Here is a 15803-nt window from a genome sequence, read left to right on the forward strand (position 1 = left end):
TGTTATCTATTGCTGCATCGCATGTATCCCAAAACTCAGTGGTGTTAAACACCAGTCAACATTTATTATTTCTCACAGTTTCTGTGGGTCAGGAATTTAGCTTAACTGGCTGGGGTCCCATGAGATTACAGACAAGATGTTACCCAGAGCTGTGGTCTCATCTGAAGGCTCTATGAAATCAGTTTCCAAGGTGGCACACACAGGCGGCTGGCAAATTTGTGCCAGGTGTTGGTGAGATGCCTCATTTCCTCCCTAGGTTGCTCACGTGTCCTCCAGACACGAAGGTCTGCCTTTCCCAGAGGGTGTGATCCAAGAGAGAGGGTGTGGAAACTGCTGTGCCTTTTAGAGCCTTGTCTTAAAATCACATGGCCATCTATTAACATCAAACATAGTTAGAAACAAGTCATTTAATCTAGATCACACTTAAGGGGAGGAAAAGAAGTCTCCACCTTTTGAAGGCAGGAATGTGAAAAAGGTTGTGGACATATTCTAAAAATTACACACCTGGCCAAGAAATGCACTTTCTTGGGCCACACTCCAGACCTACTGAATCAGACACTGTGGGGCTGGGTCCATCAGTCTGTTTTCACAAGCCCTCTGGGTGATTTTGGTGCTGGCTAAAGTTGGGGAACGACCAGGTTGGACAAAAGGACACTAAGAAAACCTCAACTCACTTGTAGTGAAGCCTCACCAGCCAGGGCTACCTTCTAGAATCTAGAAGCTGAGTTTTCATGAATCCACTGAGAGATAATGGCCTTACTTCAAGTTCATCTATAGCAAAGGTACAGTAGGCAGAATGATCCCCCACGCCCCCACAATGTCCATGTCCTAATCCCAGAAACCTTTGACTATGTCACCTGACATGACAAAAGGGACTTTGCAAATGTGATTAAGTTAAGTATCTTGAGGTGGGATATTAACCTGGATTATCCAGTCGGGCTCCAGTTAATCAGAAAGGATTTTCATAAAAGAGAGACAGGAGTTAGATGGAGGAAGGGGCCATGAGCCAAGGAATACAGCCAAGCCCTAGAAGCTGGAAAAGTCGAGACCACAGAATCACCCTGAGAATCACCAGAAATAACGCAGCCAGGCTGACCTATTCTCGACTTCAGAGCTCCGGAACTGTCAGATAATACATGTGTGTTGTTTTAGGCCCCTGAGTCTATGGTAATTTGTTACAGCAGGAACAGGAAATTAATACAAAAGTGTTCTTGTTTGAACTTTCCTTTTGGTGGAAGAGGGAGAAGAGTAAGAGGAGGGGATGGTCTGCTTCCTTAGATGTTTCCACCAAAAGGGTAGACATCCATTTCATTGCAGATTCTGTACTTGTAATTTTACTTGCAGAAGCAAAATGCTCTAGAATGGTGCCAGTAGCCATATGAGGAATCAAAACTATTTCAAATTAAAAATTCAGTTCCCAGTCTCACCAGCCACTTTTCAAGGGCTCCATAGCTAATAAGGTGAGTGGCTAATGCATTGAGCAGCCCAGATATAGGGAATTTCCACCCTTAAAAAAAGTTACATTAGATAGTGCTGCTTTAGTCTTTGCTCTTTCCTAATTTTTTCTTTTTCTTTTTTTTCTTTTTTTTTTTTTTTAGCATTTGGGTCTTGCTCTGTTACCCAGGCTGGAGTGCAGTGGTGTGATCAGACTTGAGCTGCAGCCTTCAGCTCCTAGGCTCAAGGAATCCTCCCACCTCAGTCTCCTGAGTAGCTGGGACTACAGGTAGGCACCACCACATCTAGCTGATTAATTTGTTGTTGTTGTTGTTTTGAGATGTGGTCTTGATTGGTTGCCAGTCCTGGTCTTGAACTCCTGGCCTCAAGCAATCCTCCTGCCTTAGCCTCCCAAAGTGTTGGATTACAGGTATGAGCCACTATGCTTGGTTCCTTTCCTAATTTTAAGTAAGCTTTTGCAAAATATTGTCCCACATCTTGGCCATGGCTATGAGTGCAGGTGGGTATTACTGGACACTTTTAGCTCTGGAACTTGTATTTACTTGCTGTACTCATTAGCTAGGTTTTAAAAACTGTACTTTAGGGGCTCCTAGGGATTAACTGTACTTTAGGGGCTGCAGGAACAAAAACATGGAGGGGTGAGGGAAGCACATCTCCTGGAAGTCATTTGGACAAGATTCCTTCTCACTTAAGACCACAACTAGAAGCAAGAAGTCATTTGTGCTTGAATATTGACCTGGACTTACCATCTGGAGTTCCTGTATTTGTGAAGATTTCTTCAAAAACTTGATCCAAATATTATTTCAGAGGAAGCAGTTAATTTGAAACATAGTATATTAGGTTTAGGATTAACTCAACTATTTTGTATTTATATTCCCAGAAACATTGTATTCTTTTCCATTGAAACATACACACCACACCCACACCCACCCACACACATACGTACTTTATAGAATACACTGTACCTGTCTATTGCAGAGAGTTTTATGGTGCATCTAGCCAAAACCAATAAAATGTGGATAAAAATGGAGTCTTTGGTAGTTTCTTTCGGCCATAGAATCCCCAGCCCCCAAGGGGCTTCTTAACGGAATTGACAACCCCATTGGTTCAGGAGAGGCTGACTGGCAAGGTGATAGAACCCCACATTTGATCGAAGTTGCTAAACTTCTCATATTGAGCGTTATAAGTGTTAAATGGGTTGAGATCACACTTCTTTCCTCTGACAGTAATCTCACTTTATCGGATACTATCATTATTATTTATGATATTAATAATAATATCATTATTTATTATTATCAGCTACTATCTCATTATTAATTATATATAAATTTCCCAACTAGAGCAAAATTCTCTGGGAACAGAGAGCGTGCCTTGTGCTTCTACCTGTCTTGGGCAGAATAAACTCTCAACAGATGCAGGCTGGAGTGATTGTCGCTGCTGTTTTATGAACAAGAGCCTGTCTCTGTTTGTAGAGTATGCCTGGGTCATGCAGCCTTTGCAGGCCTGTTTTCTCATCCTGAAAACCCAGATATCTGTGGATAGATGAGCTCTGTATCTTTCTAACTCTGTTCTTTCTAGCTCTGAAGTTCTGTAATTATGTGACGGATGAAAATAATTAGAATCAAATAATTCTCTATTTTAAGGTTAAAAAGGGAAATCCATCATGTATGATAGCAATAGAAAAAATAGACCATATTTAACAGCCTTCATTATTTTTCTTTAAAACTCATAATGCCTCTGTAGCTATTTGTAAACAAGTCTCATATAAAAAAATAAAATTGAGCGAGGCAGGGCTAGAGGTGAATTTACCTGTAACTGATGAAGCTAACACTTTGGTATCCCTCAAGAATGTGCCCCTTCCAAGGGCCTGGGATGGACTTTAGCAGTGCGGTTATATGTTCATATATTTCATAATCTTAAAACGTATGCTATTGTAGCTGTAATCTGTTACGATTGCCATCTCCTTTCATTCATGTTTCCCATTCTCTTGGGTAGTGTTGGGATGATTGTGGGTGTTTATAAGATCCAGTTAATAAAAGAGGAGTTGGGGATGCATTTACTTTGGGTTTGGTAGCTTATATTGATGTGGTTCACTCAAAGGACTCTAGAAAATTAAGAGTGTAGGATTTTCCCATTCCTGCCAAAACTCTGGGTGGGGAGTTATTGAGTCAAAACAATTGCGAGAATTTGGGAAGTGGGAAAGAAGAGGAAAATGAAAAAGCTTGCATGGTCCTCAAATGGAAGGGTTTACCTTTGCATAATCGGGGCTGTTTTAACAACCAGCAGTGCTCTGGAATCAGGCATGTTGAGACCAAGAGCTTTGGAATCAAGTTCAAATTTCAGTTGTGCAATGTATCAACTGTGTACCTTTGGATAAATTATTTTCCTTTGAATCTGTTCCCTCACGCATTACTGAGGATAGGAATATCGACTACCCTGTACTACCCATAGTTGTTGGGAACTTTAAATGCTATCACATGCATATGCACATAATAGGCACTATAAATTACAGCTCTTAAAAATCATGATATGAGATGTTCTCGTGATGTATTTAATTTGAATATCAAAAATTCCAAGCAAGGAAAAAGATCTCCTTTAGAGATTTTTGAAGTTAGGAGAGGCTTCCAAGTGTTTAAACAAGGCTTAAATTGTGGCTCTGCAAAGCTGTGACTTGCCCAAAGTCATGCCTCTGGGGAGTGGCAGGGCTGGTCTTAGAATCCACCTGCCCTAACTTGGAGTATAGTTAGGATAGGTGGGTCCCTTATAGTGAAAGCAAATCAAGAAGTAAGTATGCTGCAAAGGCCATGTATGAAGAACTGCTGGTATCAGTTTTAAAAAATGCAGTTATCTTTGACCAGTGTTTAGGAATCATACATACATTATCCCACTATAACCTTCATGACCACCCTATGAGAAAGTTGCTATATAGTTGCTATTTTATAGATTAAAAAACTAAAATACTGAGACCCAGAAAAGTTAAGAATTTGTTCCAGGCCACACATTAATAAATAACAGAACTTGAATTCAACCATAGGTCTGTGTGACCCCAAAGCCACGCCCTTTCTCCTTCTTCCATACTGCCCTGTCTTCGTCTGTGTCCAGAAAGGGACTTTCTCCACCTTTGGCCAAGTTACAACTGTGAAGCCATCCCTGCAGTGTGACTTTCTTCTCTCTGACTGCAAACTTACTGATGCCTCTAAGTCTCTCATTTTTCGGTCATCTGAACACCACGAAAAGAACCTAACTTGGACATTTTTATGATTTATTTTCAGAGGTTTATAAATTGTCAAAGTTTTCTCAGAAATATTTTTCATAAAGTCAAAGAATTAAGGGAAAAAACAAGAACTTGTTCAGGTCATCCCTTGAGCAGACACACACCTGAACCTCACCAAACTTCTGGAAATTTCTTCCACTTAAAACATGCTTTTGCTTGGTGGCTTTCAACCTTGGCTGACATTAAAACTATCTGGGAAGCTCTAAGATAGTACCATGCTCAGGCCACACCCAAGACTAATAAAATCAGAATCTCCAGGGGTGGGGGGTTTTAAAAGCTCACCAGAGGATCCTGGTGTATAATCACTAAGGCTGGATAAAGATAAAGATTAGATGGCCTTTCTCAATAATCCTTTTCACTGATGAATTTCTTCTGATGCTCTCAGAAAAAAATTTCTCTCTCTCTCTCTTTCTTTTTTTTTTTAACTGAGACACAGTCTTGCTCTGTCACCCAGGCTGGAGTGCAGTGGCGCAATCTTGGCTCACTGAAACCTCTGTCGCCTGGATTCAAGTGATTCTCATGTCTCAGCCTTCCGAGTAGCTGAGACTACAGGCGTGCACCACCACGCCTGGATAACGTTTCTGTATTTTTAGTAGAGATGGGGTTTCACCATGTTGGCAAGGCTGTTCTCAAACTCCTGACTTCAGGTGATCCTCCTGCCTTGGCCTCCTAAAGTGCTGGGATTGCAAACATGAGCCACTGTGCCTGGACTTTTTTTTTTTTTTTTTTTTTTTTGAGGCAAGGTCTCACTCTGTTGCCCAGGCTGGAGTGCAGTGGTGTGATCACGGCTCACTGAAGCCTCCACCTTTTGCTGGGCTCAAGTGATCCTCCCACCTCAGCCTCCCAAGTAGCTGGGACCACAGGCGTATGCCCCATGCCTGGGTAATTTTTTTTTTTTTTTTTGAGACTGAGTCTCAATCTGTCACCCAGGCTGGAGTGCAGTGGCACAATCTCAGCTCACTGCAACCTCCACCTCCCAGGTTCAAGCGATTCTCCTGCCTCAGCCTCCTGAGTAGCTGGGACTACAGGTGCATGCCACCACACCCGGCTAATTTTTTGTATTTTTTGTAGAGACTGGGTTTCACCATGTTGCCCAGGCTGGTCTCAAACTCCTGAGCTCAAGTAGTCTGCCCACCTTGGTCTCTCAAAGTGCTAAGATTATAGCCATGAACCACTGTGCCTGGCCAAATTTTCTCATTCTTAACTGAGGTTCCTTTGGTGGAAGGCTCATTTCTCTGGTGATTTTACACCATAGTGTGAAAGTGTTGATTAGCATAATTTTCTTTTTAGGACAACTTGTTACTATATTATTAAAAACTTTATAAACTGCATATTTATTTGGCCAGCATTTTGATTCTTAGGACTTTATTCCAGAGGAATTAAAAACTGTGCTCAAAGACGTATATATGGAAGTTCATGAAAGCATTGCTTACGACAGCAAAATTTGGAGGCAACTTGGCAAATATTTGAGAAAGTGTATTCATATGAGAGAATGTAATCATTAACTTACATTTACGTTCATGTTAACCAGAACAGAAAATACTGTAGTAGGAAAAGTAAGAGTTAATTTCAGATTAAAAATACATACATTTTTCAGATGTGTAGGGAAAAATACTGAAAGAGTTTACTTTAAAACATATGTTGTTGGCTGGGCGGGGTGGCTCACGCCTATAATCCCAGCACTTCGGGAGGCCGAGGCAGGTGGATCACGAGGTCAGGAGATCGAGACCATCCTGGCCAACATGGTGAAACCCAGTCTCTACTAAAAATACAAAAATTAGCCGGGTATGGTGTCACGTGCCTGTAGTTTCAGCTACTCAGGAGGCTGAGGCAGGAGAATTGCTTAAATGTGGGAGGCGGAGCTTGCAGTGAGCCGAGATCGCACCACTGCCTAGGCGACAGAGCAAGACTCCGTCTCAAAAAAAAAAAACCAAAAAACATATGTTGTCAGTTGTTACCTTGGATGGTTGGTTTTGTAACTGTTTTTTTAGAATGCTCTTCTGAGTTTTTCAGATGTTCTGTTTGAGTATTATTATTGTTTCATTAGAAACATCAATAAAGTAGTCTTCAGAAAATGCTAATTGAGGCCAGGCACTGTGGCTCATGCCTATAATCCCAGCACTTTGGGAGGCCAAGGCAGGAGTTCAAGACCAGCCTGACTAATATGGTGAAACCCTGTCTCTACTAAAAATATAAAACTTAGCTGGACGTGGTGGCATGCACCTATAGTCCCAGCTACTTGGGAGGCTGAGACAGGACAATTGCTTGAACCTGGAAGGCAGAGGTTGCAGTGAGCTGAGATTGTGCCACTGCACTCCAGCCTGGGTGACAGAGCAAGACTCTGTCTCAAAAAAAAAAAAAAAAAAAGAAGAAAAAAAGAAAACGCTAATTGAAAATGCAGTCTGGAAATATGAGTACCTCCATTCCTTACCTACATTTCATGTCTTATTTTTTAATAAAATATAATGGTATTTGCTGGAACGATTGTTCAGTTGTCTTCAGAGAAGAATATTCTCCTTTTTGATTGTTGTTATTAAACTCAGCTGTCTCCAGGACAGATTAAGACATTCTTTTTTTCAACTACCCAGATCCCCCTTGACTAGAGCAAATAGCTAAGTTCAGAGGAATTTTTGGGAAGAGTCTCAGCCGAACTCTCAGAGAGTAAGGAAAATCCATGAGATGATATGGAGCCTGGGCTGTGACAGACATGTATTTGTTGTTGATAAAGGAAGAATATATTTGTTAATACTCTTAGCAGAAGAAAACATAGAGAAAATTATGTTTGTGTCTTAAGAAGAAAGAGGAAATCCAGGCTCAGTGGCTCACACCTGTAACCCCAGCACTTTGGGAGGCTAAGGTGGGAGGATCGCTTGAGGCCAGGAGTTCAAGACCAGCCTGGGAAATATTGCAAGACCTAGTCTCTAAAGAAAATTTTTAAAAAGTAGAGGAAGAAAAAGCAAGAATTCTTAAAAAGTAAAAAAAATTGCACAATCCATTTGTGAACTGGAACAACTAAAATGTCCAACAGAGAAAGTGACTTTGAGTTGAACATGAAGTAGAGCAAGTACCCTGAGCCCAGGGAGAGCTCAGAGGGTAGACAGATATCACTGTGGATCCCAGGAAAAGGACGGCTTCCTCAGAGCAAAGCATCCTGCTCAATTTCAAGATGACATTTAAGGAAAGCAACATGTTTTTTAAAGCTTGGGTACCGAAGTTATGGCCAAAAGTTTAAACTGAGATATACAAGAAGATGCTACAAGAAGTAATATAATATGAAGTTCAGATCTGGCTGGGAAAGGAGAAAGAGGCAGGAGGAATGACAACTTTATGGAGTACCCTCTTTGACAGAAGTGTGGTTCGTGCGTCCCCTCCACAGCCGTGGAAGCTGGACAGGCAGGGCTGCAGTGAGAGATGCACTCAAAAGAGCTGTGGGCATTGTTTGGCAGCGGCTCGACAGCTGCTCAAATTGCAGGAGACAAGAAGTTAAACAGGACGCTGGCTTTCCAATCGACTTGTGCAAAGGAATTTCTATTTTAGGAGGAACAGAGGCCTTGAGTCCACAGTGCCACCTGCAGGGGGCCAGCTGGGCAGGGAGGAAGAAGTCACAAAATCACTCGGGAATAGTTTAGTTGCCAGGGGGCCCTGGGTCCATCTGAACTGAGTCACGGCACTTGCACTAAAGCAAATCTACTCACAGACTGATTACTACTGATTTGCTCAGGGAAAAGTCCCTCTCCCTAAACTAGGACTCACTCTACCAAGAGTTTCCTTGGCTGATATAAGGATCAGAGGCTACTTCACATGACTTCTCACCATCACTGATGCCACTCTTAGTCCTGCTGCAATGTACCTTTCACAGGGATGGGTAGCAGAGAGGATCAGCTCTGTTTTCATCATTATTTTTTTGGTTTTGTTTTTTTTGTTTGTTTTCTTTTAGAGACAGGGTCTTGCTGTGTTGCCCAGGCTGGAGTGCAGTGGAGCAATCACTGCTGGAGTGCAGTGGAGCTCACTGGAGCCTCCAGCTCTTGAGCTCCAAGTATCCTCCCACCTCAGCCTCCTGAGTAGCTGGGACTACTGGTGCATGCCCCCGTGCCTGGCTAATTACATTTTTTTTTTTTTTTTTTTTTTTTAGAAACTGGGTCTTGCTATGTTGCCCAGGCTGGTCTCAAATTTCTGGCCTGAAATAATCCTCCCACCTCGGCCTCCCAAAGTGCTGGGATTACAGGCATGAACCACTGCACCCAGCCTGTCATCATTGTTGAAAAGCATTTTAAGTACCTCCCAGCTGCCCTGCTGGCAGAGGAGGCAGATGCATCCTATAGAGTAGTGGGTACAAACATGGGCTTCAGCCTCAGCCAGCCTTGGGTTCAAATTCCAGCCAGGGAAGGGACAGGATTCAGCAGGGCCAGGATTAGAGTCAGGTGATTAAGGCTGAGTCCCAGTATAAGGTCAGAGTCTGTCTTTTTTTCACATTTTAATATTTTACTATGGAATGTTTTCACTAATTTTGCATTTTTAAAAAATTGCACTGAAATATCCTTTACCTTGCTTACTGAGCCTTTTGGCTTTCCTTTACATTTTGCACCAAACTGAGTGCTCACTCACCTCACCTAGTCTCAATATAGTCCAGCCCAAGCATGTCGGTTTCATGAGGTTGTGCAAGTCATTTTAAATCTTGCTTTCATCGTCTGAAAATGGGATGATTAACAGATTCTATCTTACAGGGTTTTGTAAAGTTAAATGAGATAATGCCCTTAAAACTCTTAGCACGGGACCTGAAGTGTACATAGGTGTGCAATAAACTGCCTGTACCTTTGCTAAGTCACCCTATGGCCAGGATCTGATGTGTTGCACACAGCAAACCTAGATATAGCGTGTGCCTCCTGAAGGAATCATTTGCTTGAAGAGAGAACATGAGTCAGTGCCCAAAAAGCATGTTACTGCCAATAAGAACCACATTTTACAAGACAGAAAATGACCCGCCAAGCCATTTCTGGACACTTACTAATAAAATGTAGCTAATTTCAAATTGGGATCCAGACTATGACTTGAGCCGGGCTGCAGGTTGTTAAAAACCATGAGCAAATTCACAGATCCCAGAGTAGAAGAAATGCCCTTTGCTGAGAATCAGCCGAAATTGTGGTGTGTGTTGGAAAACAGCAGCAAGTACTTATTCCTTGGACACCTTGTCCTCAGCTAAGGCATTTGCTAGGCACCCGTAGGAATATATGCTTGAGAAATAGGCGAAACTACTTGCGAACACGTGCACCGACCAAGGCTGCTGTATGCCCTGCAGTGCATATAAACACATGGTGGGAGTGAGCTCAGGGTGAAAAGATGTGTTAAGAAACACATTATATCAACCACATCCGCCCTTCCACACATTCTGGGAAAATGACAGTTTATGCTTTCAATGTTGCCGTTTCCAAAGAACCGTGATTTAGTGTCTCATATAAAAGTACAGCAGGCAAGCTGGATCCATTTCAAATTTACTAGTAAAATTAAAATTAGTTCTTTGAAAATTGAAAAACTTTCAGCCAAGAGATTCATTCTGGTTTCATGACATTTGTAAAATTGTTCTATGTTTAAGGTTTTAGGTATTGAAAACATCTGTCCTATTTCCTAAGGTAAAACTCAATGCTAAAAGGAATGACAGTGAAAAAAGGTGACTGATGAGCTTTTGAATTTCAACTCTCTTTACTACTTGGAGTCTGGAAATAGCTTGTGATAGGCAGAATATGGATCCCCCAAAGATGTCCACGTCCTAATCCCTGCAATTTGTGAATATGTTGCTTTTGTAAGGAACTTTGCAGATGTGATTAAATTAAGAATCTTGAGATGGGAAGATTATCTTGGATTATTTTAGTGGGCCTAAATGAATCACACAAATCTTCAAAATCAGACAACCTTTTCTTGCCATAGTTGGAAGGCGATATTCCTGCAGAAGAAAAGTTAAAAAGATGCAACTTTGCTGGCTTTGAAAATGGAGAATAGGCCATAAACAAAGGAATGGAGCAGCTGCAAGGAGCTAAAAGACAAAGAAATAGATTTCCCCCTAGAACCTCCAGAAAGGAATGCAGCCCAGCTGATGCCCTGATTTTAGTCCAGTGCAACCTGTGTTGGACTTCTAACTTCAAGAACTGTAAGGTAATATATCCGTCTTGTTTTGTTTTTTCCTTTTTTGAGATGGAGTCTTGCTCTGTTGCCCAGGCTGGAGTGCAGTGGTGTGATCTCGACTCACTGATTCTCCTGCCTTAGCCGCCCGAGTAGCTGGAATTATAGGTGCCACCATGCCCAGCTAATTTTTGTATTTATAGTAGAGATGAGGTTTCATCATCTTGGCCAGGCTGGTCTTGAATGCCTGACCTCAGGTGATCCGCCTGCCTCAGCCTTCTAAAGTGCTGGGATTACAGGCATGAGCCACCGTGCCTGGCTACATCTGTCTTAAGTCACAAAGTTTGTGGTGATTTGTTATAGCAGCAAAAAGCAACTAATATACAGCTGAAATTATATAACTTTCCATTCATCAATTTCATGACTTATTGTAGCTTTACTAGGTATTTAAAAGCAAACTCTAGTATAGTATTTTTAAAATTCTAATATTTTTATTGTTGGGTCTTGCATCCTTGTTTTCTTCTCCTCATTTATCCTAGGATGGTAGGACCTACAGATTCTTGATTAGATTATAGATGCAAAAAAAGAACCTGGAATTATTCCCCAAGAAGCTCCTTCTTCTGAAACCAAGAGGTGAGGAATGCTCGTCTGCTCCAGGACATGCTCAGTGAGATGAAAAGCTGTATGCATGGGAGTTGGGCCATGAAGTGCAAGACGCAAACCCTTGAAATCGTTTTTAATGAAATATAAACATTGAGTTAGCATGAGGGCCACAGTTTCTGGGTGGTTGGTTCTAAGTTTGGCAATCAGGACATAGAGGGAAAATTCTCCTGCTTTAATGGCCTCCAGATGTTCTTTTGGTCCCAACTGAAAATTTCTCATCATTTATGGTTAATATTTTTGTCAGCAGCAGAGTTTTGTTGTAATGTCTCCAAACTGGTGGTAGTGACCATTAGTCATTAGACAAACCCCAAATAAGGGTTTAATCTTGGGGTCACTTTAAGTGTTCCATTATATTTCACTTAATGAATAGTCATCAGAATGTTCTGTTTGTACAACAGGGGACTACATGATTCTATCTGATGACAACCAGTCAGTGATCTCAGGTATAAAATGCAATGTCCTATTGTAACAATGGCTGGCATTACACCCAACATCTAGAAGAAAAAAAACAATGATGTCAGAAGGCAGTCATCTGGAGTGAATAAAAGGCAAGAGGCTTATTGCAAATTCTAATGCACTTCATCATAGAATTTTAATTAACTATTCCATTCACACCAATTGGGGACTATTAAAGCAGTCGTTTCTGAGAAGCAATCTTTGGGAAATTCAGGTAAAAAAAGACAACTTCTGTCTTCTGGAACAATAAGGTTATGACTTCCTACACCTAATAAAAGGTGACTATATAGCCAGGCGTGGTGGCACGCGCCTGTAATTCCAGCTACTCAGAAGGCTGAGGAATGAGAATCGCTTGAACCCGGGAGGTGGAGGTTGCAGTGAGTAGAGATCGCACCACTGCACTCAAGCCTAGATGACAGTGAGACTCTGTCCCCCACTCCCCCCACAAAAGTTATCATGCAGGATCTGCCCTGGGATATAGTTTAATTATGTAACATAGTCTGAAAATAAGCAAATTACTTATATACATGCTTTGATCTTTCTCTATCTGAGGAATGGGAAGAACATAGTTTACCTCTCTAGAAGTCGCTTCTGAGAATTGTGGTCCATGCTCCATTCTGAATCCACAAGGAAAGGCCTTCACACTATACATGGCAATTGCCATTAGATATTGTCTTCTGGTTATGGCGCAATGGGCTGATTGCCTTAGTTATGTCAGAAAGGTGTTTGAAGAGCCTATTGTGACTTGCCTGGTTTTAAAGGCTTGAGTTATAACTGGCTAATAATACACATTGATACTGTCTGCAGCTTTTAACAAGTGTTTTTTGTTTGTGCTTAATACTTATCAGATGACTAGGTAATTTTTGAGGTTGACTCACCAGGGCATTTGGTTTCATGGGTCATTAGGGACCTGAATTACAGGCCCTTCACAACACTTAGCAAGTGAATCATACTGAACAATAGAATCTCTTTTAACCTTTGTCTTTTTAAAAATTAAATGATAATAAATCATTCGACCCTACATTAAATCTTCTCCTCTCCTCTCCTCTCCTTTCCTTCTCGACAGGGTCTTGCTCTGTTGCCCAGGCTGGAGTGTGGTGCAATCGTGGCTCACTGCAGTCTTGAGCTCCTGGGCTCAGGTGATCCTCCTGCCTCCTGCCTTAGTCCCTCCTTCAGCTGGCACTACAGGTGTGCAACACCATGCCCAGATAATTTTGTATTTTTTGAAGAGATGGGGAGGATCTCTCTCTGTTGCTCAGACTGGTCTCAAACTCCTGACCCAGATTGATCCTCCCACCTTGGCCTCCCAAACATAGCCTAGTACTCTAGGAGTTTCCCTGCTTGCAGAGAGGAACAGTGCTTTGCTAGAACTGTTAGAACAAAGAAAAGATGACTGGGTGCGGTGGCTCATGCCTGCAATCCCAGCACTTTGGGAGTCTGAGGTGGGCGGATCATCTGAGGTCAGGAGTTCAAGACCAGCCTGGCCCATATGGTGAAACCCCGTCTCTACTAAAAATACAAAAATTAGCCAGGCGTGGTGGTGGGTGCCTGTAATCCCAGCTACTCAGGAGGCTGAGACAGGAGAATTGCTTTAATCCAGGAGGCGGAGGTTGCAGTGAGCCGAGATTATGGTATTGCACTCCAGTCTGGGCAACAAGAGTGAGACTCCGTCTCAAAAAAAAAAAAAAAATTAATTAAATTAAATTAAAAAAAAGAACAAAGAAAAGATGTTACCACGAACTCTAAAATGGCACACTTGCAGATTTCTCACTGGGGAAGATGTCTCGTCTTCCTCGTGTTGTTCCCGTTTTCTTTCTCATCCAGGGTCCGACAGGGATGACATCAACAGAAGCTCAGGCTAGAAGGAAGATGAGGTAGCAGTGGGCCTGGTCTGCCCCAACCCCCAGGAGTGACTGGCAGCACACATAGCCTGAATCGACAAGATTTTAAAAAAACATATATGTTTTGGTTTTCACAAATTCTCCCACCTGTTGGTAAGTACTTTTGAAAATTTAAATCATAGACTCATTCTTTTATGACATTTTCCAACAGACGTTCCCAATATAAAATCTCAGACTACCCTTAACTTCCTCTGAAGCCCAGGGCTCATTTGCATCTGTAATTCTGACATCTACCATCTTACAGAGGGTTCTGTAATTACCAAGGCAATGAGCACAAGTCCCTGGTTCTCTCGGCAATCCAACCCTCTGAAGCAAGAAAATGCACCCCTCTGCCAAGTGAGGGTCTGTTTTTCTCTCCTTAAAATCTGCATGAAATAGTTTGCCAATCCCAGATGATGTGATAAGACGTGGTGTGATGCGATAAAAGGGGTAACCAGCACTTTGGGAGGCCGAGGCAGGAGGAACACCTGAGGTCAGGAGTTCAAGGCCAGCCTGGCCAACATGGTGAAAACCCGTGTCTAGTAAAAATACAAAAATTAGCTGGGCATGGTGGCTGCCACCTGTGATCCCAGCTACTTGGGAGGCTGAGGCAGGAGAATCACTTGAACCTGGGAGGTGGAGGTTGCAGTGAGCCGAGATTACTCCGTTGTACTCCAGCCTGGGCAACAAGGGAAAAACTCCATTTCAAAAAAAAAAAAAAAAAAAGGTGGGGGGGATAGCCAGGAAGAAGCCCTGTTCTAATCCCGAACAGCTCTTTCCCTTGTCCACCCTGTTTCAGATCACATTGTTTAAAGCAACAATAATAATAATAATTATAACAACAGAGAAGAGAACTTGCGCGAATTTACTTTTATTTTATTTTTTCTAAGACAGCATCTTGCTCTGTCACCCCGGCTGGAATGTAGTGACGTGATCACAGCTCACTGCAACCTCTTCCTCCTGGGCTCAGGTGATCCTCCCACCTTAGCCTCCTGAGTAGCTAGGACCACAGGCATCTGCCACCACACCTGGCTAATTTTTTAAAATTTTTTTGTAAAGACAGAGTTTCGCCATGTTGCCCATGCTGGTCTTGAACTCCTGGGCTCAAGCTATGTGCCTGCCTCGGCCTCCCAAAGTGCTGGGATTACAGGCGTGAGCCACCACACCCAGCCTCAGCATTTGGTAAGCCTTGAATATGTGCCAAACACTCTGCTAAGCATGTTACATTCATTATATTATCCAATCCACAGACTAACCCAAGAGCAAAGCACCGTTAGTATATTCATCCTATCGTACAGATGGGCCTGGGACAGCTAAGATAGTTGCCTTTTGGGTTGAGCGTTGTCCTGTTTCTTCTCTTGCTTTTAAAATGTATTTATTGATTCTTTCAACAAAGATTTATTGAGCACTTATTATGTCCCAGGCCCTATTTAATCTTTATATATTCTCATATATTGATGAAGATGTCATGAGCTCAATAAACTGCTTTGTTCTAAGAGAAGAAAGAAGTTTCTGTAAAAGCAGGGGCTTCTGAGAAAAGAGGGAAATGTGAACTTCAGACTTCAGTGGCTTCACACACTTCTGCCCTGAGCAGTATTGATAAGAATGCAGTCTCTCAGGTTGAAGTATGTCACTTTCACCTTTTCAACTGGGTGGGGAGAATGATATCTGGGGAATGTGAAGTGTTTTTACTGCAGGCTTTCTGCAAAGACCAAAGGGAGAGATAGGGCCTGAAAAATGATGGGGAATTCCCAGATCTGAGAAAACTCGTTAATAAACTTGGAATCCTGGTGCCCCCGTTTGAAAGGGCCTCGGACGTCTCTGAGTCCATCCCTTAGACAAGCTCTCTATTGGAAGCAAGATGTCCTATTAACAAATGTTAATTTGTTAAACAGACTACTTCTGCCTGCACACACTTTGAATGCAGGGGAACTCTCTCTCTCATGAGGCAGCCGATTCTG

The 15803-nt window shown here is 42.2% G+C and overlaps 2 long non-coding RNA genes across 2 annotated transcripts, besides 1 other annotated feature; one reads left to right on the forward strand and one right to left on the reverse strand.

Annotated features, from left to right (window-relative positions):
- The first annotated feature begins 10681 nt into the window (after positions 1-10681).
- LOC107984173 (uncharacterized) lies at positions 10682-12163 on the forward strand. The gene is made up of 3 exons (XR_001747288.1): positions 10682-10876; positions 11383-11476; positions 11905-12163. It is a non-coding gene; the product is annotated as an uncharacterized LOC107984173 (long non-coding RNA).
- Positions 11179-12378: an enhancer, noted in NCBI's record as "BRD4-independent group 4 enhancer chr10:30150443-30151642 (GRCh37/hg19 assembly coordinates)". NCBI's record gives its function as "activates an origin of replication core promoter dependent on BRD2, P300/CBP, MED14 and CDK7 cofactors, and independent of BRD4, by STARR-seq in HCT116 cells {active_cell/tissue: HCT116}" and the evidence as "EXISTENCE:reporter gene assay evidence [ECO:0000049][PMID:35650434]".
- LOC124902402 (uncharacterized) lies at positions 11565-12691 on the reverse strand. The gene is made up of 2 exons (XR_007062100.1): positions 12537-12691; positions 11565-12000 (listed from the first exon to the last, which is right to left on the reverse strand). It is a non-coding gene; the product is annotated as an uncharacterized LOC124902402 (long non-coding RNA).
- Between the last annotated feature and the right edge of the window lie 3112 nt (positions 12692-15803).

The sequence above is a fragment of the Homo sapiens genome, chromosome 10, assembly GCF_000001405.40.
Source record: "Homo sapiens chromosome 10, GRCh38.p14 Primary Assembly".
NCBI lineage: Eukaryota > Metazoa > Chordata > Mammalia > Primates > Hominidae > Homo > Homo sapiens.